The following is a 26711-nucleotide window of genomic DNA, read 5'->3' on the forward strand; positions in this document are numbered from 1 at the left end:
TTACAGTTGCTTATTGTATTGTACTTGAGTATTGAATAATTGCTTCTTGCTTACTTTGAAAAGTACCTAAGCTACAACAATGGGCAAAAAGTTTCTCGAATGCACACAAACTAAAATATTAAGTGATATTTTCCTATTGTCTTCTTTTTTGTTGTCCTGTCTTGCTAATTCTTTCTTGTTTACATGCTATAACCATTAGAAGCTCTGCTAACATCTTAAATAAAATAGAAATATTAAAATATATATATAAATATAAGTAATATAAATAAATATAATGAAATAAAATCTCAAAGCATCAGTAATTGCTACATGAGGAGCAAACCCTCTGATATAATTTTACATTTACTCATCCATTCATTTGCAAATGTTTGCTAAGCACTGTAGGGGACAGAAAAGACTTTCTTTATCCTCTGAAGGTTCGATAATGTAGTCTATGAAATAAACTGACAGTAGACAGATCAACACGATAAAATACATACAAATTTATTACATACATATGCATGAGAGTCCCTCAAAATATAAGGCTCAAAGAAGGGGTAGGTAATTGGAGTTTATATAGAATCCCTGGGCTACAGAAAGGAATAGAGGTTTGGGGTCTCTGGCTGGGAGGTGGTGACAGGTTATGGAAAGGTGAGGGGAGGAAATGTATGATGAACAAAGGCTATCTTGTTATACCGATAGAAAGCCTCAGGAGTAGTAAAAGTTGTTTCAGTGCATCTCTCAGAAGAATCTGTGATCACCTGTGACAGAGTCTGTCTGGGTAAGGTATCACCTCCAATCTTACCTCCTGTGATAAGATCTTCTCTGTTTCATGAGATTCCTATGACAATTATTTTCCTTTATAGATATAGATTTCTTTTACAAAAGAACAGCTATTCAGAGGCACTTCTGTGTCTGCAACTTCTCAGAATAACCAGCTCAAAATATGCCAAAGAAGTACATTCTGGGGTGGCATGTTCTGGTCTCCTACCATCATATTTTGGGGTGAAGTGTCTTGAGCCCCAACGGCATCAAGTATGAACTTGGAGCCAGGGCTTTGGTGTACATTTCTGTAATTTGTGCTTCACACAAACAATTCCACCTATAAGGCCAGAAGGGCTGGGAAACAGGGCATTTCCCTCCCTGAACCTTACAACCTGCTGGATGCTATGCCCACATGAGGGAGGGGTGCCTTCTAATTCACAGCAAGATGCCTTCTGCTACCAAGTGCTGTGGCCTCTCTCTGCCTGAGGGGTGGAGTGAGGAACATCTGCCCATGGGTAGTAGCACCTTGTAAAATCTAAAAGGTGGGGAGGCAAAGAGGACACGCACTGCATCTTCTTCCCTTGCACTTCCTTTTACTACTAGAATGAGAGTTTCCTCTTTCCGTGATGCTCTAATATTCCTAGTCAGGCCAAGCTATTGCTAATCAGAACATTCTCCGGCTCTCCAGTCTTCTTTATTAGACTGGCCTCTACAGGGCTGGAGTCTCTTTTCTGACAGTGCCACTGAATCAGCTGTCTGAAGAACCCTTGCGGGAGACTGATGGACCTTCACAGACACCGTTTCTCTAGGTCAGCTCAGTTTACCCCAAGGCCACAGGCATTACTGCCTCCTTTAACACAGCACTGCTTTTAAACATTTCTTTCCCCCCACTTAGTCCCCAGAGACTTAGAGTTAACTTGAATAAATTCCCCTAATCTGAGATTGAAAAGACAGAAAAGATAGAAATCTTTTCTTCCTTCAAAATACTTAACATATATTTGTGGGACAGAAGAATTTCCATAGATATAATATATGCATAAAATGTCACTGTTAAAGTAATCCTCAGGGGAAAGATTTTTCATTTGTGACTTTACTTAGCCATGTCATATTGAGACAGGATTTTATTCTGATTGGTAGTTTTTGGTTTTCTCTTTCTGTTTAGTAATGAATACTGGTAAACCTCCCAGCTACAAATATCTCCTGATATGTTAAAGAAACAGAGTCTTCCATAGCTGTAGTGGGTGCACAGCTGTGGGAACGCAATGTGGCCTCTCATACACTCCAGGAGCTGTTCCTCCACCCCTTCCATGAAGGAAAGGTGATGCCTTAACCCTTTTGGAGAGGTGAGCAGTCTTGAAGCCCTCAATAATATCCACCAGCACCCCAGTGAAAATGGGAAATAAGACAGGAACTTGGAGAACTCCCATTGAGAAAAGATCCTAGAAATCACAGCAGAGTGGCAGGGTCTTTCTCAACTGTGTCCAAGTGGAAATGGGGTTGTGTACAAATAGGGCCCCCTCATATAACACGCAACTGACTCCAGGGCACACCCATACTTTTAACGTCTGATTGCTTTCAAGAATGCTGTGAAAAGTTGTTGCGAGATACATGGGATTGAGACTTCTGCAGTAAAGGGTTGAGGTTAGACACTGAGTAACTTCTTGTCAGTAAAAGGAATTAAACACTGCCTCAGGAGATGGTATAATTATCTCCTGGGGAGGTGACTTTTTGTCTTGAATGATTAGGTGAAGTCCAATGAGAATCTAAGAGGCTGGATGAAAATTCTTGGAAATTAAGCCACAACTGAAAAAAGGAGCCAAATAAATAAGGCCTTCTCTGGGGCCTCATACCGTGTACCAAGGGTCGAAGAAGTAAAGTTTGCCTGACTCATGATTCTAGCTTAGAAGGCAGGAATCCTGCTTTGTTTTATTTGAATTATTGCATTGATATTCACAACAACAGTCTTGTTTGAATATCTTAATTTAGGAGTCTGCTACTTAAAACAGCTGTCTTATGTCTATGAGATATACGAGCCACAACCACAGACTCTACGCTGCGTTCCTCTCCCTAGTCACCGCATGCCTTCCTGTTCCAGTGAAATTTAGGGTATTGAAAGGCAAGAGTCTCATCTTCGAATATCTGATTTGATGAGTGATTGCTGGAAGTGGATGCCTTAGGGAAGGTGAGAAGACAATGATGGGGATGATGTTGACACCTGGTTGTGGCTGACGGCTGTGTCCCTCCAGCTGCCTCACCTGGGGCCGCAGTAAGCACCAAGTTCACAGGCTTAGTGAGGCGAGTCACACATTAGCCCATCTGCTCTGGTAATGTCAATACCAGCATGCAAGAAAGCTCCGAGTCTTAGAGATGGAAGAGGCCTCCTTTTGTAGAGGAACGGGAAACAGTGGCACAGGAAAGGTGAAATGGCTTACTTATGATCTCACAGCAATGGGACAGAGAAATGGCTGGTTTCTCTTCAAACTCACACAGTTTCAGTTCCAGTAATAAAACATCTAAACCTCCATATTTGGACGAAGTATAGTCTACTCATAGGATTACGGCAACTCAGTTTAAGTGAGGCTGTTTTGGAAGAAGCTGTCCTACATATAAGTTGTCTTCTGCAAAATAAGACACAAAAATAGTTTTGAAATCAAAAAAGATTTATAAACATTATTGGTACAACTGATTTTTGTCTCTGGCTGGAAAATTTTTCATGGGTTACACATTCTTTCATATATTTCTCACATTTGAGAAGTGGAGATTTAATTGCTTACATTTTGATGATGAAGAAAAATACCACTTGACACAAATTAATGTCAATCCTTGAGGGACCAGTTCCTTTTCCACGGCATATATAATAAAATAACACAGGAACATTAATCTACTTTGTAGAGTAGTGAAACTTATTGAGCATGTTATAAAAACAACAGAGCAGCAAAAGCATTTTACTTAAGAAGCATTTAAAAAAAAAACCCTCATTCATTTCACACCACTCTGATGTTTTAGCCAACAGTTTTTTCACTGGGCCGTGGCTGTGCACACGGGCTTCTTGCCATCACTTAAATGGACACTTCTCAAACTCTCCCTCACAGGTGTTCCTGGACAGCACAGGAAAGAGAACAAAGAGAACAAAAACTACTTGGATTGTCTGGAGGTCATAGTCCAAAGGAAGGGTTGTAAATTTAGACATTTTTTGAAGATTCACGTGTTTGGTTCAATATAAAAGTATCATTCCCCACCCAGACCTGTCCCAGTGTCTAGGGAAATGCACCTTCTCCTGTGACATTGCATATCATCTTCCATATCAGGTACCCTGGTTTGAAAAATCATACTTTTAGAAGAAATTGCCCTTTCCATTTTCTTAACTGCTCTGGAGACCAGCAGGAATTGGAGCAGCCTCATTCCGTGTCGAAGAAGACCTATACGGCTTGCTTCTTTTTTTCTTTTTTTCTTTTTTTTTTTTGAGATGGAGTTTCACTCTTGTTGCCCAGGCTGGAGTGCAATGGCATGATCTCGGCTCACCGCAACCTCCACCTCCCAGGTTCAAGCGCTTCTCCTGCCTAGCCTCCCAAGTAGCTGGGATTACAGGCATTTACCACCACGCCTGGCTAATTTTTTTCTATTTTTAGTGGAGACGGGGTTTCTCTATGTTGGTCAGGCCAGTCTCGAACTCCTGACCTCAGGTGATCCGCCCGTATTGGCCTCCCAAAGTGCTGGGATTACAGGCGTGAGCCACCACACCTGGCCCAAGGCTTGCTTCTTTTAAGAGAAAAAGGCTGTCATGCTGCTCTACTTCAGAGAACAGACCAATTTTTAGAGAGCTTCAACAATTTCTTTCTAATGATAATTCAAATCTTTACCAAAATCCTAACACATCAAATTTCAGTTTCATATTTTCAACTACCTACGGGATATTTTATTGCTTCAAACAGAACATAGCACTCCACCATCTGATAATAATGTTTATTTTACCTGAATGCAAGTTCCGTAAGTTCCATCATTTGCCCAGCCTTAATAATAATTGTGCAAGGCCGGGCGCGGTGGCTCACGCCTGTAATCCCAGCATTTTGGGAGGCTGAGGCGGGCAGATCACGAGGTCAGGAGATCGAGACCATCCTGGCTAACATGGTGAAACCCCGTCTCTACTAAAAATACAAAAAATTAGCCGGGTATGGTGGCGGGCGCCTGTAGTCCCAGCTACTCGGGAGGCTGAGGGAGGAGAATGGCGTGAACCCGGGAGGCAGAGCTTGCAGTGAGCCGAGATCATGCCACTGCACTCCAGCCTGGATGACAGAGCGAGACTCCGTCTCAAAAAAAAAAAAAAAAATTAATTGTGCGAACGCCACCCCCTACCCTCGCCCAGCAACACAGCAACATTGCTGAGGAAACTGATGCACTCCCACATTTTAATGACCCAGTGTTGGAAGAAGTCAACTAAATGAGTTAAAAGTGTCCCAAGGTAGGTGGCCCAGTAAGACCATCCCAAAGAAAGGAACCTGGGCAGAATCCAAAATAGGCTCAAAGGAGAAGATTTTCTCTTTAGGGGGCTTGTACGTGTGAGTGGACATAGATATATACGCTGCAAACGTGTAGGGGATATTTAGGAGCACTGTCCCTGCTGCTCTAGGGCACCTATTCCTTGGAAAGAGTCAGGGTGCTCTGAAAAAAATCATGTCAGTCTTACCAGCAAGGGAATTGTAAACCTGAATATCAGACATGCGGGTGGATTACCTGCGTCTATTATCCAGGCTTGGGAAATGGAGGTGCTCAGGGATGAGAAGGATTAGATTATAAAAGAACAGCTTTGAGGAATGTTTTGGAACTGTTACAATGGATCCCACTTTTAGGGATACATAGAAAAAGTCTTTGCAAATACCAGAGATACAGGCACTACAAGGAAATTAGATAGATGCCAAAAGCATTTAATAAAGAAGGAGTTTGGGGTAAAAATTTGCAAATCTTCACCATCCTACTCTTCCCTGAAACAAAAAACTAATTTCAATTTAAAATTTTCACTATGATTAGTTCTATTAAAAATCAATCAATCTATCCATCCTATCTCTGTCTTGCACTCTCTCTCTCTCTCTCTCTCTCTCTATATATATATATATATATATATATAATCTATCTATGTGTCTATAAGTACAAGATGCTTCTTGCAGAAAAATTTGCCTAGAGACTGTGATTTGTGTAAAACTAACTGGATTAAAATTAAAATTCGCAAGTTTTAGGGTTCACTTAAGCAAAAAAATAACTTTTTCATTGGTAAAATGGTAAATTTATTTCTGGATCTAGTTTGTGAAGCAGGAGTGTGTATATGGCTGTGTGTGTATGAGTGTGGGTGTATGTATGTAGTGTGTGTGTGTGAGTGTGTGTGTCTGAGTCTGGACCCAGCTCCCTACTCAGGAGTTTACTCCATACTCTATCTCTTCCAGAGTAGGCTGTGATTCCCAGTGTACTAATGTTAAATGTTCCAGAGACATTGAAAATATCTAGGGTTGTTATAAATTAGCTTTGTGGGGTTTTTTTACTTGCTTTTGTTTGTATTTTTGAATAAATGAGTTGAGGAAAAAACATCCTTGCTAAATAGAAATCATGGGTTACGAGACGGGAGAGACGCCCACGTGGTAATATGGCTGGAATGTCATGGTCAGAAGGTCTTTCCTGTCTTTCACTTTTTCATGTTCACTGGTGCATGCACGTGGATGCTGGGATATCTGAGTCAAGAAGGGTGGCTGTCACTGTCCACCCTTTATACCTGCCACCACTTCTCAAATACTGGTAGAAAGCCTCTTATAAATCTACAAATCTTGTCACTTGCGGGACTTTTCAATATGAAACCCTCTTATACAATTATATGTATGTTGGATACCATGGTGGATGCTGAGGAAACAGTAAGGAAAATTTGCTATTTCAGACTTGTAAATATTAAACTCATATTTTTAGATTTAAAAAAGGCAGCAAATTATGCAGCATAATAAAGATGGGTGAGTATAAATATTCTATAGTGTACCATATTAGCTATTAAACATTATACAGAGAGTGGTTATGAATTCAATTTCTAAATAATCTCTAAAATAAAAGAATGATCTAAATCTTCCACATCCCTGAGGTATTAGTCTTAAATGCATATGATATTACAAAACTAAAATTCTTAAAATAATTTCTGAAAAACTAGTGATACAGGAGTTGTAAAGAAATTACTTGGGCAGTGAGGGTATGGAAGTCCTCAGTAAGGTTTTCTTCTTAATGAAAAGCAGCCCCCAAATCATTTTCTTTTCCAACAAAGAGCAGCCTGTAAAATCGACCTGCAGACACAAACAAGCATGCTGGAAGCTTGCACAGGTACATGCTGGCAGTTGTGCCCGTAGGAATATACTACCTGGGACTAGCCATGTTCAAAATGGCGGCTCCATCTTCTCTTTTTGCCAGCCACGTGTCCAGTAAGGAGCAGACAAGATAGCCCCACCAAGTGGAAAGCCCATTTGCATAATAAGATTAGGGTGGGGCGACCAGCCTTCTTCGCGTGCTAAGTAAACGTCACACCTGGTCAAACCAATCTGTGAGCCCTACGTAAATCAGACACTGCCTCCTCAAGCCTGCCTATAAAATCTGCTGGGATCTGCCACCTTAACCCTTTTTTTCAGACATCTCTCTCTCTTGCAAGGAGCTGCCCTCCTCTCTCCTTTCTTCCGCCTGTTAAACTTTCCACTCCTTAACCCACCCACGTGTCTGTGTACTTAATTTTCTTGGCGTGAGATAAGGAACCCTGGGGATTTACCCTAGACTACGATGCTGCTTCACTAGTAGGAAGAGAAAAGATAAACAGCGATTCCTGTTTTATAAGGTAGGAAGGCTGTATATTCACACGACACTCGCCGTCACAGTGGTCTCTGTGACTTCAGTGAACCCCCTTTCCACCTGTCCTCCTCGCCCTCACACTAGATTACTTTTTCCAAAAGATCTGATCATGTCACTTCCCCTGGAAGCCCTTGCCTGGCCTCCATTGTCTGCAGGATGAAGTACTGAATCCTTAACCCACAGGGCCAGACTCCCTTTCCCTGTCCTGCTCTTGATCAGGCACCATGAGCCCACGACTCCTCTCCGTCGGCTAATCATTCCTCCCTGGCCGTGTTCTCTGCAGCTGCCTAGCTTTCTGTCCCTTCACTCTGTTCCAGAATCTTCTGCCTGAAATATTTCAGTCACCACTTCCAGGTCAAATTTCTCCATCCCTCAGTGCGCTTAATGAAGCTCCCCATTCTTGATTCCAAACCTTTTCCTTTCTCACTGCATCATTCATGATTGATACAACGATGAGTGTGCTGAATGCAGGCATCGTTGCTGAGGATACAAAAATGAATAGAAGGCAGCTCCTGCTCACCCCACCAGCGGCCCCACAGCAGCTCCACGTGTGGGCAAGTGGTATGCACACGAGCAATGTGATACACGTGACTATGAGATGTGTTCAAGGTGATGCGGAAACTGGGTACGAAGGCCCTTAAGTATCCTGGATTTCTGTGGGACATTCCCCTGCACAGTTACGTGTTGCCATGCGGCTATGCTGTTTCGCATAGACATGTCTTGTCTTCCCATTAGATGACGTGTTTCTTCAGCACAGTGGCTGTGACATCACCTCTGTGTGCCTGTAGCATCTAGCAGAGAGCCACATACATGCTGGATAACCAATTCATGCATGTAGAATAAACAATTTTCCCCTACAAGTATTACTGATTTATTTTAAATATAAGAAAGAATATACTGAATTTTCCCCCTTGGTGCATGTTTCTTATGAGTACAGCTTAGTTGCTAAAAACAGCGTGATTTCTAGTGATTGCGGTAGAAGAATAAAAGCTAAAACTCCTAGGACTTCTGTTAGAAATGTAAATCAGAAGCTGATATTACTTCAAGTGCTACGTGAAATACCACATTCAATTTGTAACTCCAAAAGCTTTAGTCTGTGGTACATGTGGTTCTACATGGTTTAGTAGTGCCTTTGTATGTGACATGAGAACAAAATAATCAGCAGGTGTAAATGTCAATCGAACTAGAGAATTTTCTAGAATTGTACCTCTGCTTTCAGTTTATGGCACTACTGAATGCAAACTCTATTTATCTGCACAACTTCAGAAGGTTATTGTGGCAACACCTTTTAATAGAAGGGGCGAATACAATTTTACGGGTATTATTGAGAGTTAGAGGTCTAATTTCTCATGCCTGGGAATACGGAAAGTGAAAAATATATATTGTTACAAAAAAAGATAACCAAGGAAATACTCAATTCTGTTAGAAATAAAAAAGAAGTAGTTTCATGCCAGAAGACTTTTTTCTTTTCCTGCATGAAAATATGAAACTCTGAGACTGCACACAAGTGAATGGTATTTGAGTAATGATAAAAGGAGACAGAAAAGACACCAGATGAGGCAGAGGCTGACATTTGTCCGCTCATCATCCATTTGCCCTTTTCTTCATAGGAACAGTTTCTAGCTGGGCACATCGCACCCCGAATACAGATATTTCCCAACTGCTTTGGGGGCTGGCCATGTAGCCTCACAAGTAACTTTTCTCTGTCGGAATACGAGTACGATGTTGTGTGCTACTTCCAGATTTGACCTTTAAAGAGACTGGGAATGTCCTCTTCTCTTTCCCCTTTGTTTCTGGTTGAAAAGTGGACCTGGGGCTGAGCCACCTTGCACCATGTAGATGAGGGCAACTAAAGGCTTGGTGGAGTGGAGCATCCCAGCTCCAGACATTTTATGAGAGAGAGAAATAAACTCCCATCCCCTTAAGCCACTGCAGTCTTAGGAACTGGCCACACACCACGGAACTAACGTCAGAATAATATAATGGAGCCTACTACAATCCATTTAGCCAGAGAGGAACAAAAAGATTTTTTTTTTTTATTGCTGATTACAGTTACAGTGGACACAACCATATTATGGAATATAATAATCTGGAGGTGATTTTGTTTGCTACTAAAACGCTCTCATCAAATACTTCTTTTTTTTCCCCAATATCTGCCCAAAGTCCTTAGTAAATGAATTCCTTTGGTCATTATTAAGAGAAATAAATGCCTGTGTGCCCATTAAGAGATTTTGATTGGAGAAACAGAAAGCCCCAATTTAACTGGCTTAAATAGAAAGGAAATGTATCATATCCCATGACAGGCAGTCCAACCATGGAGTGGCTTCAGAGCTGATGAACTCAGTAGGGCAATGAACTCTAGAAGGGCCTGGATCTTCTGAAACCTGATCACTAGTAAGGGTCAAGGGATTAGCAAGACTGGTTTAGACTACTCAGAACTCACTACTGACCCGGAAAATGAGGTCATTTCCCAAACTGGTCCACACTTGAAAAAAAAAAAAAATCTGTTCTGTTAGCAAGAGAAAGGGGGAGATGGCCGTCAGGAGGGAAACCGACATTTTAGTGTACAGTCTGTCTGCTGTGCACACAGAGATTCTAACCATGACCTGATAGAAACTTACCCCTGCCAGCTGCCAGCCAGGTGCTGGGGGTCATGCTCTATCAGCAAGCAGTTCTGTTTGTACAGGGAAGGTGCATAGCCTATAGAGTCGGTTTCATGCTGGCTATTTTATTCACATTCTGAGGTAGTTTGTGTCCCTGCAGATTTCTGATTATACATCAGTGACGTTTAATGTGATGCTCAGAATATTAAAAGCATACCCAGTAAGTGTTTTATCTAAATCATGTTTACAAGGGAAGTTCTGTGCTTTTCTGAGGTCTTGCAAAAACAATCTTTGGTTTCTTTAGACCAAGAAACTAAAAATAGACACAGTGACATAGCCTCCAAACAGCAATTTTGAGATCGAAAACCTCTGTTACATTAACAATGTGAAGCAGTTCCCATCCATCCCATTACAGGAAGTTCTGGGTCAATAGATTTAGTCTAACAAAGATCTTATCTCTTTAATCCTATCTTTCTACTTCAACTTTTCTTATTGATTAAGCATCTTCTGAACTTTACAACAATACAATACTGCTTATACAAAGCCCAGCCATGTCTTCACATAAAAGAGTTTTTGAGAAGCCTACTTTGATTTAGATTTCTTTCTTTCCAAATAGCAGCTATCTTCTGAACACATAGCTTTTCTACGTACTTCCTATTTACATGTAAAACCATTTAAATGAATGGTCTAAACAAGGTTGATTAATCACTGGGAAATTTCTCTTTCAGGACACATCCATTCCAAGCTCTACATTCTTTAAAAATCTAGCAAATAAAATTTCATCTTATTTCTGATGCAAATGACTAACATAAGTTGACTGGACTATCTCTTCTATTTCCTTCAGATAATCAGGGCAAGTCAAAATGCAGGCTTGTACAAATAAAGAACAATGCTTCAAGTTCTTTTTTTTTTCTTTTCTTTTTTCTTTTTTTTTTGAGATGGATTCTTGCTCTGTCGCCCAGGCTGGAGTTTAGTGGCGTGATCTCGGCTCACTGCAAGCTCTGCCTCCCAGGTTCACACCATTCTCCTGCCTCAGCCTCCGGAGTAGCTGGGACTACAGGCACCCGCCACCATGCTCGGCTAATTTTTTGTGTTTTTAGTAGAGACGGGGTTTCACCATGTTAGCCTGGATGGTCTCGATCTCCTGACCTCGTGATCCGCCCGCCTTAGCCTCCCAAAGTGCTGGGATTACAGGCGTGAGCCACTGCGCCCGGCCTCAAATTCTTAGGACACAATCAAAAGCTTGCATTTGATAATGTGTGTAAGAATTCTTTAGGCATATGTCACATTCTGCAAGTGGACTGGGTTTGTCTACATGGGGAGGCGGCCACGGGAAGAGTGAACACAGACTTCCTCCAAATTACAGCCCTGCCAGTTTAGCACTAATACCTTGAGAGGAATTGGGAAAAAATCGCTTGGCATCAAATTCCCAGACTGTCCCTGAACTCTGGTCAATAACCAACACGGCTTTGTGAAGAAAAATGTGATGTGTGTCAGGAACAATATTATTTCTGTCTGAAGGAGAGTAACAGGCAACTTTGATTGGATAAAGAAACAGGCATTCTTGGCCTTCTTCTACAGAAAGGAGGAAGAAAATTGCTTTTTGGAAGTGCAGCAATAGGCCCGCTTGACAAATTACCTCCTAGAGTGCAAGAGTGAGGCTTATCTGCTTCTGACTGGGTTCCTTCTCACTTGTACACTTCTTCTGATCCTGGTTCAAGAATGGGCAAACAGACAGGCAAGGGTTATACATTTGACCTGGGCCTTACCCATGGCCTTGTAGTTACTTGATATTTTTCTTCTCCTTGAAAAAAATTCTTAAATAAATTGGACTTTAAGAAATCTCCTTCTTAGTCTCTATCCACAACCTCAACTTCTTAATGGACAGTGGGGACAAAGGCCTGTATGGTAGGCTTGGATAGCTCTGCCAGGTGTACCTCCTAAGGACCTCCAAATCTTAGGGGAGGTGGGACTAAAGGTCAAGCCAGGACAGATCAGATTTGCCTAGGGGACACTTCAAGTTTCCACTTCTTGGTGCAAAAAGAGGCCAAAGTGAGTCTTTGAGGACTTCAACTGGTAGAATCCTGGGGCCCACTGAGATGCCAAGCGGAGAAGGAGGAAAAATGGCTGCATTTCTTGGAATCTCAGGAAATGTGATTTCTACATCTGTTGCAGATCCTTGGAGACCAGTGCCCATGGGACTGGCTGGTCTTTACCCAAGAAAAGCCCTATTACCTCCCAGGAGCTTGTAGAGAGATTTGATTGAATAACTGATCGACTTAGCCTTTCCCAGTGGAATGTTGGACAAGCGAGAGAAATGCCTGTCACTCTAGTCCTGAGTGCTCATTCTGTGTGGGCTCCCTTGAACTCTGCCTAAATGTCATGAACAACAGGAATAACAGCAGGTACTTAGCGCTGACCTTGGTGTTCCTGTTTCGTGTGAAGAGTGAGGGCGTGCTGCTTCTTCATCATGCCATGAGGCTAACATGCGATGTTCTTGGCATGTGCTAGACAATCTCTGCCCTTACCCCCAAGGGGCACTAGCTGAACAAAAACAACACTAAAATCCCCTGTAGGAAGTTGATTGCTAGAATACAGATATGTGCAAAGTTGCATTGGGATACGTTTTCCTATAACGTAAGAACTATTTAAACTATTTAAACATTTTGTGTAATTTAATTAAAACATCACTGATTTGCATTGGCTGCTCAATACATTTGGTGACATGTTTCAGAGACCCTATTTTGCGAAGGTAAATTAAATTTCCCAGTGGACTTCATTCTCATTAAAAAATGACATTCAGCTACATGGGTATGACAGGAGAGTTGCTCCTGACGCATTCCAGGTTTAAGAGTGGCCAGCCGGACCACCACCTGCATGCCTGGCTCTTTCTGGAACAGCAGCGAGCCTTCACGGAGTTGGTTTCTGTGCCCTCGGTCTCTGCCAGTGAAAAGCATATTTCCTTCTCCCTAAGTTTAACCTCAAAGAAACACTTTGCCTAAAAAGGTGTAAAATTCTACCTAATAATAATTATTGGTCACATTGCTTTTATTTTTAACATGTAACATTACTAAGTTTAATTAAGAAAAAAAGTAATTCATAAACTCAGTCCCTAAGTAACCATCAACTACATGTTCAGAAACCTCAAACATTCTAGAAGGTTATAAACTGAAAAGTAAAAGCTTCCTCCCTCACATCATCACTTCCTCTACCCAAAGGCAGCCACTGTTCCCGGGGTGTCTTTGATTCTTTCCAGAAAATATCTTATATGCTCATGTGCATGGATCCCCTTTTCATGCTGTCTTTACTTCATTCTGTGTATTAAAAGTGATTCCGTATCAGGACACGGATTGACCTTACTCTTCATAACAGAGTATTGTATTCCACTGTATAATTATGTCAAGAACATACTTAACTGCTATAATACTATGGAAAAGTGGATCGTTTCCATATTTTTATCTATTACAAAATAGTGCTGGAAAGGGGAAGATCACCATTCAGAATGCTGGGGGTTGGGGAGATGCAAGCTGCCTGTCTGGTGGGGGGCCGCCAGGTCTGCCCCAGCTGGACTGGACCCAAGCACTACATCCTTAGGATTGTTCTCACTGTTTGCAGAAGCACTTCTTCTGACATGGAAAACAAAAACACAATCTACATGTCATTTTTGTTGTTATTATCATAATGCCCCATGCAGTTAATGTTTTTGAGATTGACACATGGTGACACTCGCCCTATGAAAATATTTTATTTATCATTATATAAGTTATTCTATGAAATTTTAAAATCTCTCATATTCATTTAATTAACCCTTGGAAGAAGAGTTACTAAGCATACACGATCACAAAATTTCATCCCATCTTCTCTAATTGATCTTAAACCCATAAAAATATATATCAATGGCAGTGTTAGAAAGAAAAAGATTTTACTGTAAAAATAAATTGTAGTCTCAAAAATACATTTGAGGCAAATAAACCATATAATTTAAAAAGTCATACTTTCATTAGTTCTCTACAGAAATGAACTATTGTGGGCCTAATGGCTCTGATTTTTGGGTATCACTTGCTCATTGTGACTAGCAGTATGCAACTCAGCACTACGGATTAAAAAAATAAAGCAAGCCATCTGAATCCCAAGTTGCTTCATAAAACACCTGTCTTACAAAATGTACCACACAAAAGGTAGTTCTTGCTCTACAGAGTTTAGGAAATGCTGAGTGTGCTGTTCTGCTTGTTCAAGCAATACATCTTTGCATAGTGAAAGTTTTAAGTCCTATAGGAAAGAAATTGGTTTAATCTGGCTTACCTGGTGCCTCCAACTCTTGGATTGCAGCTCTCTGCTCCACCTCTCTGTACCCCAACTCCTGCCCTGCTCCTGGCAGCATCTGTTGGAACCTGGATTGCATGACCCGTACTCTGGAAAATGCTGCTCTATATTTTTGTAGTCAAGAAATTGCTTTATTTCTGGAAAGTTTTTTTCTTTTTTTCCCTCAACTACAGCTGAATAGCTCAAAGTGCTTGTGTTGAAAACACAGGAAACCTGAGTTTGCAAATGTTATTCCTTGGACAGACGTCCCTGTCCTTTTCCAGACTGGAACTGTCCAGTAGAACTTTCTGCAGTGATGAAAATGGGCTATATCTGCACTGTTCAATACAGTAGCCACTTGCCATGTATGGCCACTGAGTGCTTGGAATGTGGTTACTGTGATTGAGGAACTGACTTTTTAATTATATTTACTTTTAAATAGCCATATGTGGCTAAAGGCTGCCATGTCAGACACACAGCCCCAGACAGAGGTCAGAGCACGACCAAAATAAATGCACAGAAACAATGCTCTCCACACAGAAACAATGCAATCTTCACAAGAAGTCTGTTTTCAGGACTGTTCTGAGCTCTCTGCAGCTTATAAAGCTAAAGAAGTTTCTCCAATCGATTTGCCATAAAACTGATTTTCTAACACATTATTCAAAAAGATGGATCTTACGATTTTGAAAGAGTATAATTATTGGTCAGGTGCGGTGGCTCACGCCTATAATTCCAGCACTTTGGGAGGCTGAGGAGGGTGGATCGCCTGAGGTCAGGAGTTCGAGACCAGCCTGACCAACATGGTGCAATCCCGTCTCTACTAAATTTACAAAAATTAGCTGGGCGTAGTGGCACGTGCCTGTAATCCCAGCTACTCAGGAGGCTGAGGCAGGAGAATCGTTTGAACCTTGAAGGCGGAGGTGACAGTGAGCCGAGATCATGCCACTGCACTCCAGCCTGGGTGACAGAGCGAGACTCCGTCTCAAAAAGAAAAAAAAAAAACAGTATAATTATTTCATATTTACCTTTATTTCAACAAAAACTGGCTAAAGACAATAAGAATAGCTAGTGGTCTGTGTTGGGTTAAAAAATATACTTTTCTATGTGCAGCTGACCCTTGAACAACATGTATTAGAACGTAAGTCCACTTGTATGTAGATTTTCTTCCTCCTCTGCCACCTCGGTAACAGCAAGACCAACCCCTCCTCTTCCTCCTCAGCCTACTCAACATGAAGATGATGAGGGTGAAGGCCTTTATGGCGATCTACTTCCATTTAGTAAACAGAAAATACATTTTCTCTTCCTTATGATTTTCTTAATAATGTTTTCTTTTCTCTAGCTTACTTTATCATAAGAATATAGTATATAATACATGTGACATACAAAATACCTGCTCATTAGCCATTTATATTATTGACAAGGCTTCCCGTCAACAGTGGATCATTGTAGTTAAGTTTAAGCTATCTGCCGACTTTCAGTTGCAGGAGGGGTTGGCACCCCTCAACTCCCCGTAGCTCATCAAAGATCAGCTGTACCTCAAAATCACGGAACACTTTCTAGGAATGTCTGCCAACTGATAGATGCTTTCCAGATGAATGGTATGCAGAACTTGTTTGTACATTTGTGAACAGTTTCTTTAACTAAAATAAATACTCTCCAAAGCTTTCCATCTTTGCACTTCAAGCTGTCTCACAGGCAGAAAGTCTAGCGAGGCTTATTTCCAATCTGCAAATGAGCTGATCTTAGAGTTTAAATTAGATTTTTGGACACATGTCAAATAAACATGGACTGCATATTTTTGACATTTCATAACACCAACTTTCTTTTTTAAAATGCTCTTTGATGAAGAACATCTTGTATATCAAAGCCTAAAGTACCAACAAGATTTGATTCCAGTCTCTATGTGCTGGAGTGTCCAGGCGGTTGAGGCAAACTTACATGGGGACAGCTGGAGTGAAGGCTCATGAACCCACAGTTAGTCATCCTGAGAAACACCTGTTCTTTCTGATGTCTCCCTGAAAACATCATATATTTGGAGACTAGATTTTAATCTCTAGTCTTAAAAAAACTCAATATGGTTTAAAAAATATCTAAGCATAATTTAATGAAATTACATATTTTTACAAAAATAAATTAAAATTGGCTTGAATAAGAAAAGTAACCATTTTCTTTTTTCCTTTTATTATTAAATATTGATCATCTACATGTTTTCTCTTTCCAAGGTCCACCTATTGAAAAAAGAGCTTCACATCTATTTGTTAATTTGGATTTTAAACTCAATAATTAGTTAAATCTTTGAGTAAAAGGGTAGGTATCATCATAATTTATCTTCATTGACTCCTTTCCTACGTTAAAGGCTGAAAATGAGGTTCAGACTCTCATTTCACTAAAACCTCCAACAGTATTTTAATGCTGTTGTGATAAGTCGTTCAAAATAACCATTTTCACCAAAAACATATACACGTTTCTTTGCACGAAGTAGGTCATATCCTGTATTTGCACAGGTCTAAAACCACATTTGAGGGAGGCTTTACAACTTCATTTTTATAATTTTCGAAACCCTTTTTAAGAAAACCAATGCAAGAAGATGAACATGGTTAAGAGGATTTGGAAAGGGTCCATGCAAGTGAGGAGCCCAAGGTGAATGCCTCATTAGTTCCCTGACAAACCTGCCTCCGAGCGACACAGCATGGTGTTTGTTTAAGGACAGAGTGACTGTTAGATGCCTTAAGAAATTCTATCGCATTTCCTTAACTTATGGTCACTAATATGATTTTTGAAATTCGATTTTCATTTAAATGTGTATTTTTCTGCAGTTGCCACATTTTGTTTCTGGATTTCTAATTAAAAACAGAAAATTCCTTATCCAACTTCAAATCATTATTTTAATAAATTATCACCCAGACATGTAATACCCCAAGATAATATCAAATAAGATAAAGATGTTTTATTTATAGAGAACTCAGAAGGTTTGATTGCCATAGCTTTCTGCATTCCCAGGTCAGTGAGTATAATGTATTCCATATTTTGTTGCTGTTTTCCAGCACTAAACACGTCAGCATTTTGCATCGGAGTCATTAAAGTTTGTGAGATAGTTCTGATGAATAGCAATAAGGCCAGAAAAAAAGAATAATGCATAACATGAATTCTTTAGGAAATCAATTAATTTTTTTATGAGCAGTAGTAAAAATAGGATCTAGGGTTAGCAGAGTGAGGCTAGACTAGTATTTGGTACCAAAATACATTCTCTGCTGCGTTCTATCTATGTAAAAATATTCTGTGCTGAGTCAAAACTGAAATCTCAGTTCTCCCAAGAGTAAGACATTTTACATATCAGAATGTACTCTTTACTTGGCCGTGTATGTAGCCTTTGATAGAGCACACCAATTCTGTAAATTCTGCAGTACTTTCAGGTTTCTAATGGACTTTTTGTGGATCCCTGAACATAGTGTTATTTTGGTTTTCTGAATTATATACTATGTGTGCTATTAAAACACTGTATATTGTATAAGTATATAAAGGTGCTTACGTATTTTTCAAAGAGCTCTTTGTTGGGGCAAGGTAAGCAGTTCTAATACTGGGATAAATGATGATTAATATTGGAAAATAAAAGTAATAGTTTGTTGATATTACTCCTAGATTATTAAGATTCACTCAACCATTTATTTTATTCATTCATTCATTCATTCATTCATTCATTCATTCATACATTTGATGAATGTTAAACACCAAATACATGATTCACCAAGAAGAATGAAAAGGCTTAGGACAGGAATATAAAGACAGGAAACCACTGTAACACTGCAGCTTGAATTCTGGGAGGTAGTACTTTCAAATAATTCTTTATAATGGTAATAAATTTACTGGATCCACCCCACATTTATCAGGCCTTTCCTAGGTGGACTGACATCATCACTTAAATGGAAATCCCTGTCTTCATTTATTAGTTAAGGTACATTGCTCCTCGGGGAACAGATAAGCCTGTGACACAGTGGAGCAAAGTGTCTGGAATCTGATTTTCCAATGGACATTCCCATATGTTTGAACAAAAGAGTCATAAATACTAACTATAGCACCTATTTTACAGAAGCTGAACTAAAGACACAGAAGCCTTCAAATGGAAAGGATATACAACAGAAACCACAGCTGTGCGGAAGACCACCCAGGTACATGGTCGTGGGTGAAATGACTAGAAGATTAGAATCCTCTGGAGCCCAGAGCTCAACACATGGGTGTCTAGCTCCGAACAATTTTAAATCCCACAAATGACAGAGAATTTGGTTTTCAACTTTTTTATACGCGATTTTTTTTGTAACAGCTAACATTTCTTGCATACCCACATGGTAAGAGTTGTACTTTTTCTATCTTGATAATTGAGGGAAAAAAAAATTAAGCACGGGTGAATTCACAGGCATCTTACAATAAATCTGTGAACCACATCCTGATAATCACTGGAGTTAATGACGTCTAGGGCTTTTTCCACATCTGGAACTCTGTAATTCTTCTATAGCTTTGCTACCAATGACTTTTCCTTGAACGATGTATTGAATGAGGCACTCACTTCTCCCTGAGGCAGCTTATTTTGTTCTTCGTTGTCCATACTGTGAGAGCAAAGAGTAAAAAGAGATTCACCTTCTTCTAACTTTTATGTATTTGGCCATGTTCTACTTCTGAAATGACATAATCTAACCACAATTTCTTCCAGACAATGGCTTTCCATTACACTCCTTAAACCCAGAAAAGATGGGCAGCTTACAAGGTTATACAAACCACAGCAAAACAACATGTATCAGGAAAAGGGGAAGAGAAAGAAGGAAACAAGTAAAGCCAGGAAACCAGTTTCCAAATCCACTGTGTTTATGACCTCTATATATGCTATAGGGAGCCCACAGATGTAGCTTTAGATTTTCTAGCAGTCAACTGTCAGAGGAAAACCTTATCAGCTGGTTTAACATCCTTAAAGGCAACTTTCCTCAGGACAAGCATAAATGTGCCTGGTACTCAGATCAGACTTGAATAGTCACCATGGTTCCTTGTGGAAAAGTCTGTTGGGATGTCCTGAACCACAGGCATCACATTTCCTGTGTAACGATCACAATATAAACAAATGGCATGGTGGCAAAGTAGTATTTAGGAAAAGCAATTATTTGAAAGGCTAAAAATAGTAAGGTCTAGGTGCCCAGTTTCCTGCCGTAGATCTGACTACATCCTGGATTCTAGACTATTTGGAAGAGTATATCCAATGAATGCCATGTAAGCAATCTTCCTTGAATGTTGGGTTTTTGGGTGAGCTTTGGATAAATATTCATTAAGCTTTTGATTAAATATTAAATAAATCTGCACTTAACTCTGTGCCAGGAACTATTCTAAGTATTTTACACTTATTATCTCATTTAGTATGCACAATAGTTTTATACAGAGTTGCTCATATATACCCTATTTTAGAGATAAGGAAACCGAGAAAGATGAAAACCACAAGTAGTTTGTGAAGCCAGGGTTTGAACTTCACACATTCAACGCCACCCTTTTTAAATCACTGTGGAATTCCTTTAGCATTCAAGTTAGGTGAATATCCTTCTGTGAAAGTTTGGGATTTGAAGACAAAGGGCAATGATGAAATCAATTTATCTCTGCTGAGAAGCCAAAGCAATGGGAATGGACATAAGCTTGCAAAAGTGTATGGAGACTGGGGCAAAAAGACAGGGAGGGAAAGGAAGGCATACAGTTCAGTGCATCCTTTAGAAAATCACTTCTCTGTTCTTTTTTCAGCTTCTTCAAATTGCAAACTGTGGTGGTTTAAAATACGTTCATAAATTCTTTGACACTCTTTAAGATGGAGCCCAACTCCCTTCCCTTTGAGAGTGAGCTGGATCTAGTATCTCACTTCTAATGAATAAAGTGAGAGTGACAGGTGCAGCTTTGGGGATTTGGTCCTACAAGGCACTGTAGCTTCTCTCTGTTCTCTCTTTTGGACAACTTGCTCTGGGGAAAGCCAGCTGCCATCATGGGGACAAACAGCCTAAGACAAGGGCCATGTGGTGAGGAACTGTGGCCTTCTGACAACAGCCAGTGAGGAACTGAGGACTTTTTTTGCCAACAGTCATGTGAATGAGCTACCTTGGAAGTAGATCTTCCAGCCCCAGTTAAGCCTCCAGATAACTGTGACCCTGCTAAACTGCAAACTCAGGAGGAACCCTGAGCCAGAACTACCCAGCAAAGCCACTCACGGGTGATTCCTGACTCTCAGAAACTGTGAGATGATACATTTCTATCATGTTAAATTGTTAGAATTTGGAGTTGCTATGCAGTCATAGATAACTAATACACAAACCAACAAACACACCTCCAAAACCAACAAATCGAAACAAATTAAGATAAATTAAGAATACGCTACCTACAATTGCCAAAGGACAAAGAAACCTTGAGAACATAACTATCCTCCTTTAAGTAAAGTTGCCTGCAGACTCTTTTAATCCAAAGACATTACAGCATTTTGATTCACTTCTAAAATAATTTGTCATGATTTGCAGCTTAAGTATGTATGTTATTTACTTATAATTTACTTGTATAAAAAAGGGAAGATAAAGATATTCAAGATTTCACATTACATAAACCCTTCAACATTCTTAAAGCAAGGTCAACAACCAAATGCAAAAGATGGGCCAGCAAAAGTCTCTACCTCCTAAGAAAAGTTAAAATCTTAAAATCCAGCTTTAGAGGATGGAACCACAGTAGGCAATTAGCAGGCAGAAGCACATAATTTAGCCAGTAGTTAAAAACAATTCATTAAAAGCTCATTTTAAAAGACAACATTTGCTAGCATTCTGATCCCAGAGGTTGGCAACCTGCTGAGGCCACACACAATCATTGCAGATAATTCAGCACATGATAATGACTAAGGCTGGAGAGTGTGTCCTGATTTCCATCGTCTCCAGGGAGAGTAAACACTTGAGTTTTCATTCTAATGCAATCACGATTATGAATCCAGAGGTATTTCTTTCCACTTAGGCACCATGGTATCTCATTATTTTTCAACTTCCACTTCCTCTACTCCATTGCTCAACCCAGGATTTTATGAGCCCCACTGCATGACATACAGGAAGCTTTACTAAGGGGAACCAATGCTAATTTATTTCTAGATGACTTACAGTGCTCAGCCCCAAATCAAGACTGGCTAATACAACTCTGCTATCTGTGCTCCTTCTTGCACAAAACTCCTCATGAAGTTGCAATTTTAAAAGAAATGTTTCTCATCAAAATTCAATAGACTTTTATATGCACATACACTTTCTCACTTTTCCAGGCTGCATGAAATTTAATATCAGGATTATTATCCATTTGTCATTTTAACCTATAATTTAGTAAGCCTTTTTGTGTTTGAGTTATGCTTCTTCCCCCCTTGAGCCATCAGCTTGCAGCCATAGATTCATTTGAAAAGCCGGCCAGGTCACATGGTTTGACCTCTTAGAACAAACATTTTCCACATTTCTTATTCTGCTTCCATAAGAGACACCATTAGTTTTGTTCATCTCTACTTAAAATGATTTTTATGACATAATAACATTTCAAGTTTTCCACATTAACCTTCATTTTATTTCTTGAAATACTCAGGCAAACAATGTCACTAAGACGTCACTGATGGAGAATTCTTTCTCCTTCACTCCTGTCTACTTAAAGGCAACTCTGAAGAAAGAATAAATTTTTGCTCTGCATCAGCTGAGTGCTGGGAGAAAAGTTTAAAAGTCTGGCCTAGTGGCTCACAGCATCTTAAAGTAAATACTTCCATAAGCAACCAAAGCAGAAAATCTTCATATAACTGTTTTCACCAAAATAAATACATAAATTTTCAAATCTGGAGTCCTATAAAGGAATTTAAAATCTATTTTCTTATATGTAAGTTCAAAGATGTCTAAGTCCAAAGGGAAAATGAAAATAAAATAAAAATATAATCCCAGCCCATGTGCAAAAGCAAACAAGGACAGGAACACACCGCTCCAGGGGTGTGGGCAGTACTCACCCCACAGCCCAGGCCATTGCCCCCTTCGCAGGTGACTTTCCTCTGGTCAGGCTCCGGCAGCAGCCCCGCTCCACAGCCAGGGCGGGGGCATAACACGCCCCCCATCTGCAGGACACACTCCTCTGCACCATACTGCTGGTACCGGTTGTACTGCAAAACCCAAAAAGCAGATTGAGCTTTCAAACTGACTGCAAATTTCAGCCAAAGGGTTAGGAGCTACAGTGCATGGGATTTCTTGCTTAACCAGTTTCAGTAAAATAATGCATGTGTGTGTGTGTGTGTGTGTGTAGGGGGAGGGAGAGGGCCACGGGGTTGATAGGGGAGGACGAATATGGTTCAATGCAGTAAAAGTCTACCAAATTCAACTGGCAAGACATATAAGTGTGTTTACTTTTTGCTTTTTTGTCTTCAGAAAATAGATTTTCCAAAGTTTTGTATTTTATAAGATCGCTTCTACCAACTGTATTTTAACAATCTTATTTCATATACATTTTGAGGAACATATTTATGTATTAAATGATGAACACTTTTAATACATCGCTATCAATCTTATAAAGCAATATATTGTCATGCCTCTATTTAAAATTCAACAAGGTTTTATATTTATTTTGAAAATCGGCCCAGCATTCCACCTCATAATATTGGCAGCCCACACAATATCAATGAGCTAGAAGAAGACTAATGTTAAACAATCACATTTTCCCTTTATCATTATTCTTATTCTTAAAGCATGATTTCTTGTGTCCCTGATGTCATTTCTTCCTGGTACCGTTTTGCTCAATTTCCTTTAATGGTTTCCCCAGCCTGCAAATAAATTCCAAACTCCATCAGACCATTTTCAAGGTCTTCTTTGTGGCAGCCCTACACTTTTGATCTTACATTATTTGTAATATAAACTCAGATCAAGTCAAATAGGTTTGCTCAATTATTAATTAAATAATGCAACATTTATTGAGAGCCTACTACATTCCAGACTCTATCGAGGCGCTGGGGATACAGCAGTGAATGAACAAACTTCTCCGCCTTCATCCACAGCACTGTAACAGTCAATACCGAGAGGTTAGAATGTCTAGGATTTCCAATGGTGCTAAGTGAGGAAGAAAATAATCAACAGGGAAGAGGGAGAGTCCAAAGAAGGTGGAGATTTCAATTTTAAAGAGGTGATTACAGAATGCCTTACAAAGCAGGTGTCTTTAAGCAAATGTCTGAAGGAGATTAGAAATGCAAGTCACATGGATCCCTGGGGGAATAAGCATTCCAGACAAGCAGAGAATACTATAAGGGGCCAGAGCCCCAGTGTGCTGATGTGGTTGGCTGTTCAGGGTACAACAAGGGGGGCAGTGGGGCGGAGGCAGAGAGAACAAGGAGGGAAAAAAACAGAAGGTGAAGTTGGAGAGTTTGTGAGGATCTAGAATATGTAGTTCCCTGACAGCTGCTTTCAGAACCCTGGGTGTTATTCTGGAAGATACCAGAACCACTGCAGAACTCTGAGGCTGAGGCATGACATAATTTGACTAATATTTTAAAGACATCCACCTGGCTGCTATGTTCGGAATACCCTCTGGAGGGCCAGGGTGTAGGCAGGAAGCAGAGAAGCTTATGTCAACATCTATGACGTAAGCTAGGAGCTTATGTCAACATCTATGCAAAAGATGGCACTGGCTTGAACCGGGAAGGTAGTGCTGGAGGTAGGATGAGTGTTTGAATTCTGGGTATAAATTAAAGGGAGAAGTTGCAGAATTTTCAGTCAGGTTGGATGCCTGGTGTGAGAGGAAAAGAGGAGTCAACTGTGAGTGGAGTGTAGTTCCCCGTTTCCTGAGAAGACAGGAGGCGGGTAGGGGTGGGGACAACTGTGGTAGAAGAAAGGGTATGTGTGTGTGTGCACGTGTGTGTGTGTGTGTGTGTGTGTAGGGAGTTGAGGCATGAAATAATTATTTCTATTGTGCTCGTGTTCAGTTTGATAAGCTATTACACAGCGATGTCAAAATGTCCAGTATCTAATTGAATAAATAAGTGTAGTTTAGGAGAAAGGCATGGGTCCTGGGTACAAATTTTGAAGTCATTAGCCTGAGCCTCTAATCCATTTTCTCATTCTTCTGTCCCCAGGAAAGAAAGAAAAAGATGACCTGGCCTCCTTGTAAACGTGTGAATGGCATACACATACAGCACCTTTACCAGAAAAGAGGTCTAAGAGTTCGGATGGCAAACAAACTAGAATCTCTGAATTTATGGGGTAAGGTTCTCTGGACAGTGTCATAAGCTGTGCAATTACCAGAGGATACAATGAAGATATTTCATCAGGTAATGAATGATGAGACAGTTTATGTAACTGAGAGATTGCCTGTGAGTGATTACTGCATAGATTTCTTAGAGGCTTCATACATAACCCTTGCCCACAGCACAGCCCCAAATGCCAAGGAAGGACCTGGGGAGGCGCGCTGGCGACCTGAACGTCTCCAGGTCCTGCCTGAGTCTCAGGATTACCTGCATCCTTGAAATTATTCGTAAAGCTCGACACTAGGTTAGATCTATGACACTCTGACCATGTTATGAGGTCAGATGTGATTATCCAACCTCTGCAGGGAAGGTGAGAAAACACCAGCAAAGGAGACTAAGGAGCAGCAGCCTATGAGGCAGGTGAAAACTGAGGAGGACTCAGGTGTCCCGAAAGCCAAGGGAACACATCTCAAGGAGGCTGCCATGATGAGCTGTGGTTGGAGCTGGGTGTGTGGCTGCCATTGCGGTCTTGAAAAGTCATTTCAGTGGAGTCATGGAGCCAAAAGCCTTTGGAGTGGAGTCCAGAAAGACTCGGAGGAGAGAAATTCAAAGAAGTGAGAATAGACACTTTTTTAAAGGAGTTTGCCAGTAAAAGGGAGCAGAGATCGGGGAGGCCATTGGATAGGACTCTGGGGTTGTAAAGGATTTTCGAAAATGGAGAAATAACGATATGATACTATGCTGAAGGCAGGACTGAGACGAGAAGCGCAGATGGACAGTTTAAGCCAGAGAAAGAGCTCTGTCCTTGAGTAGGTTGGAGGGGAGGATCTAAAGGATGTGTGGAGGGTTGGCCTTCAGAGAGCAGGCAGCCATCCTTAGGAAGAGGAGGCCCGGCTGAGTGCTTAGGCCCAGGTGCAGACAGGCAGAGGGGTACTGGGATTTGAGGAAGAAGAAACGTATGAGTGATGAAGGAAGGGGAGGGCGGAGGAAGTCGGTATCACTGCTGGGCGGCACCCAGGCCCTCCTGAGGTCAGAGATGATGAATTTAAAGGAAAACTCGTGAGCAGAGTCTTCTGTTTCTCTGCACCAACACTGAGCTGCAAAGGCAAAGTAGAAAGAATGGTGGATTTAAGTTTGGTTGCAGTTTTGCCGGAATTGTAAAAGGAAGCGGGACATCTCTCGATCACCTCTGCCTATGACTGTGAATGATCTCACGGTGATCCTCCAAGCCCCTCTCCCTCAGCTCTGTTCACCTCCGCCTATGACTGTGAATGATCTCACGGTGATCCTCCAAGCCCCTCTCCCTCAGCTCTGTTCACCTCCACCTATGACTGTGAATGATCTCACGGTGATCCTCCAAGCCTCTCTCCCTCAGCTCTGTTCACCTCCGCCTATGACTGTGAATGATCTCACGGTGATCCTCCAAGCCCCTCTCCCTCAGCTCTGCATCACCGAACTGCTCAACCTACTTTTTTGTCTTGACCTGTCCAAATCCTTCCACATTGAAAAAAAACAAAAACAAAAAACAAAAAACAAAAAACTTTTTATTGTAAATATCACATAGAATAAGCTTAATACATTATAAAGTGACCAACTTTTTAAACACTACCCAGGCCAAGACACAGAACTTTACCAGGTCCGCCTGAAGCCCTCCATGTATCTATTCTCATCACAACACCTTCACCCCTTCCTAAAAGACACCATGGTTTTGTTGTTGTTTTTGTTTTTTGTTTTTTTTTTTTAGACGGAGTCTCGTTGTTACGCGGCTGGAGTACAGTGGCGCAATCTCGGCTCACTGCAACCTTCATCTCTTGGGTTCAAGCGATTCTCCTGCCTCAGCCTCCCGAGTAGCTGGGACTACAGGTGTGTACCACCACACCCAGCTAGCTTTTGTATTTTTAGTAGAGACGGGGTTTCACCATGTTGGCCAGGATGATCTCGATCTCCTGACCTCGTGATCTGCCTGC

The 26711-nt window shown here is 40.8% G+C and overlaps 1 protein-coding gene across 6 annotated transcripts in view, besides 1 other annotated feature; it reads right to left on the reverse strand.

Moving 5' to 3' along the window:
- Positions 1–26711, reverse strand: part of PRKN (parkin RBR E3 ubiquitin protein ligase) — a 1380350-nt gene that overhangs the window by 178910 nt on the left and 1174729 nt on the right. For all 6 annotated transcript variants that reach the window (XM_024446449.2, NM_013988.3, XM_011535863.2 and 3 more), the window contains one exon: positions 22528–22677. In XM_024446449.2, the coding sequence (XP_024302217.1) occupies positions 22528–22677 (150 nt within the window). The remainder of the gene's footprint in view (positions 1–22527; positions 22678–26711) is intronic.
- Positions 7490–7681: a silencer, noted in NCBI's record as "fragment chr6:161954848-161955039 (GRCh37/hg19 assembly coordinates)". NCBI's record gives its function as "represses an EF-1alpha promoter that drives an FKBP-Casp9 reporter gene in an ReSE screen in phorbol 12-myristate 13-acetate-treated (for megakaryocytic differentiation) K562 erythroleukemia cells {active_cell/tissue: K562(+PMA)}" and the evidence as "EXISTENCE:reporter gene assay evidence [ECO:0000049][PMID:32094911]".

This window comes from Homo sapiens, chromosome 6 (assembly GCF_000001405.40).
Source record: "Homo sapiens chromosome 6, GRCh38.p14 Primary Assembly".
Classification (NCBI taxonomy): domain Eukaryota; kingdom Metazoa; phylum Chordata; class Mammalia; order Primates; family Hominidae; genus Homo; species Homo sapiens.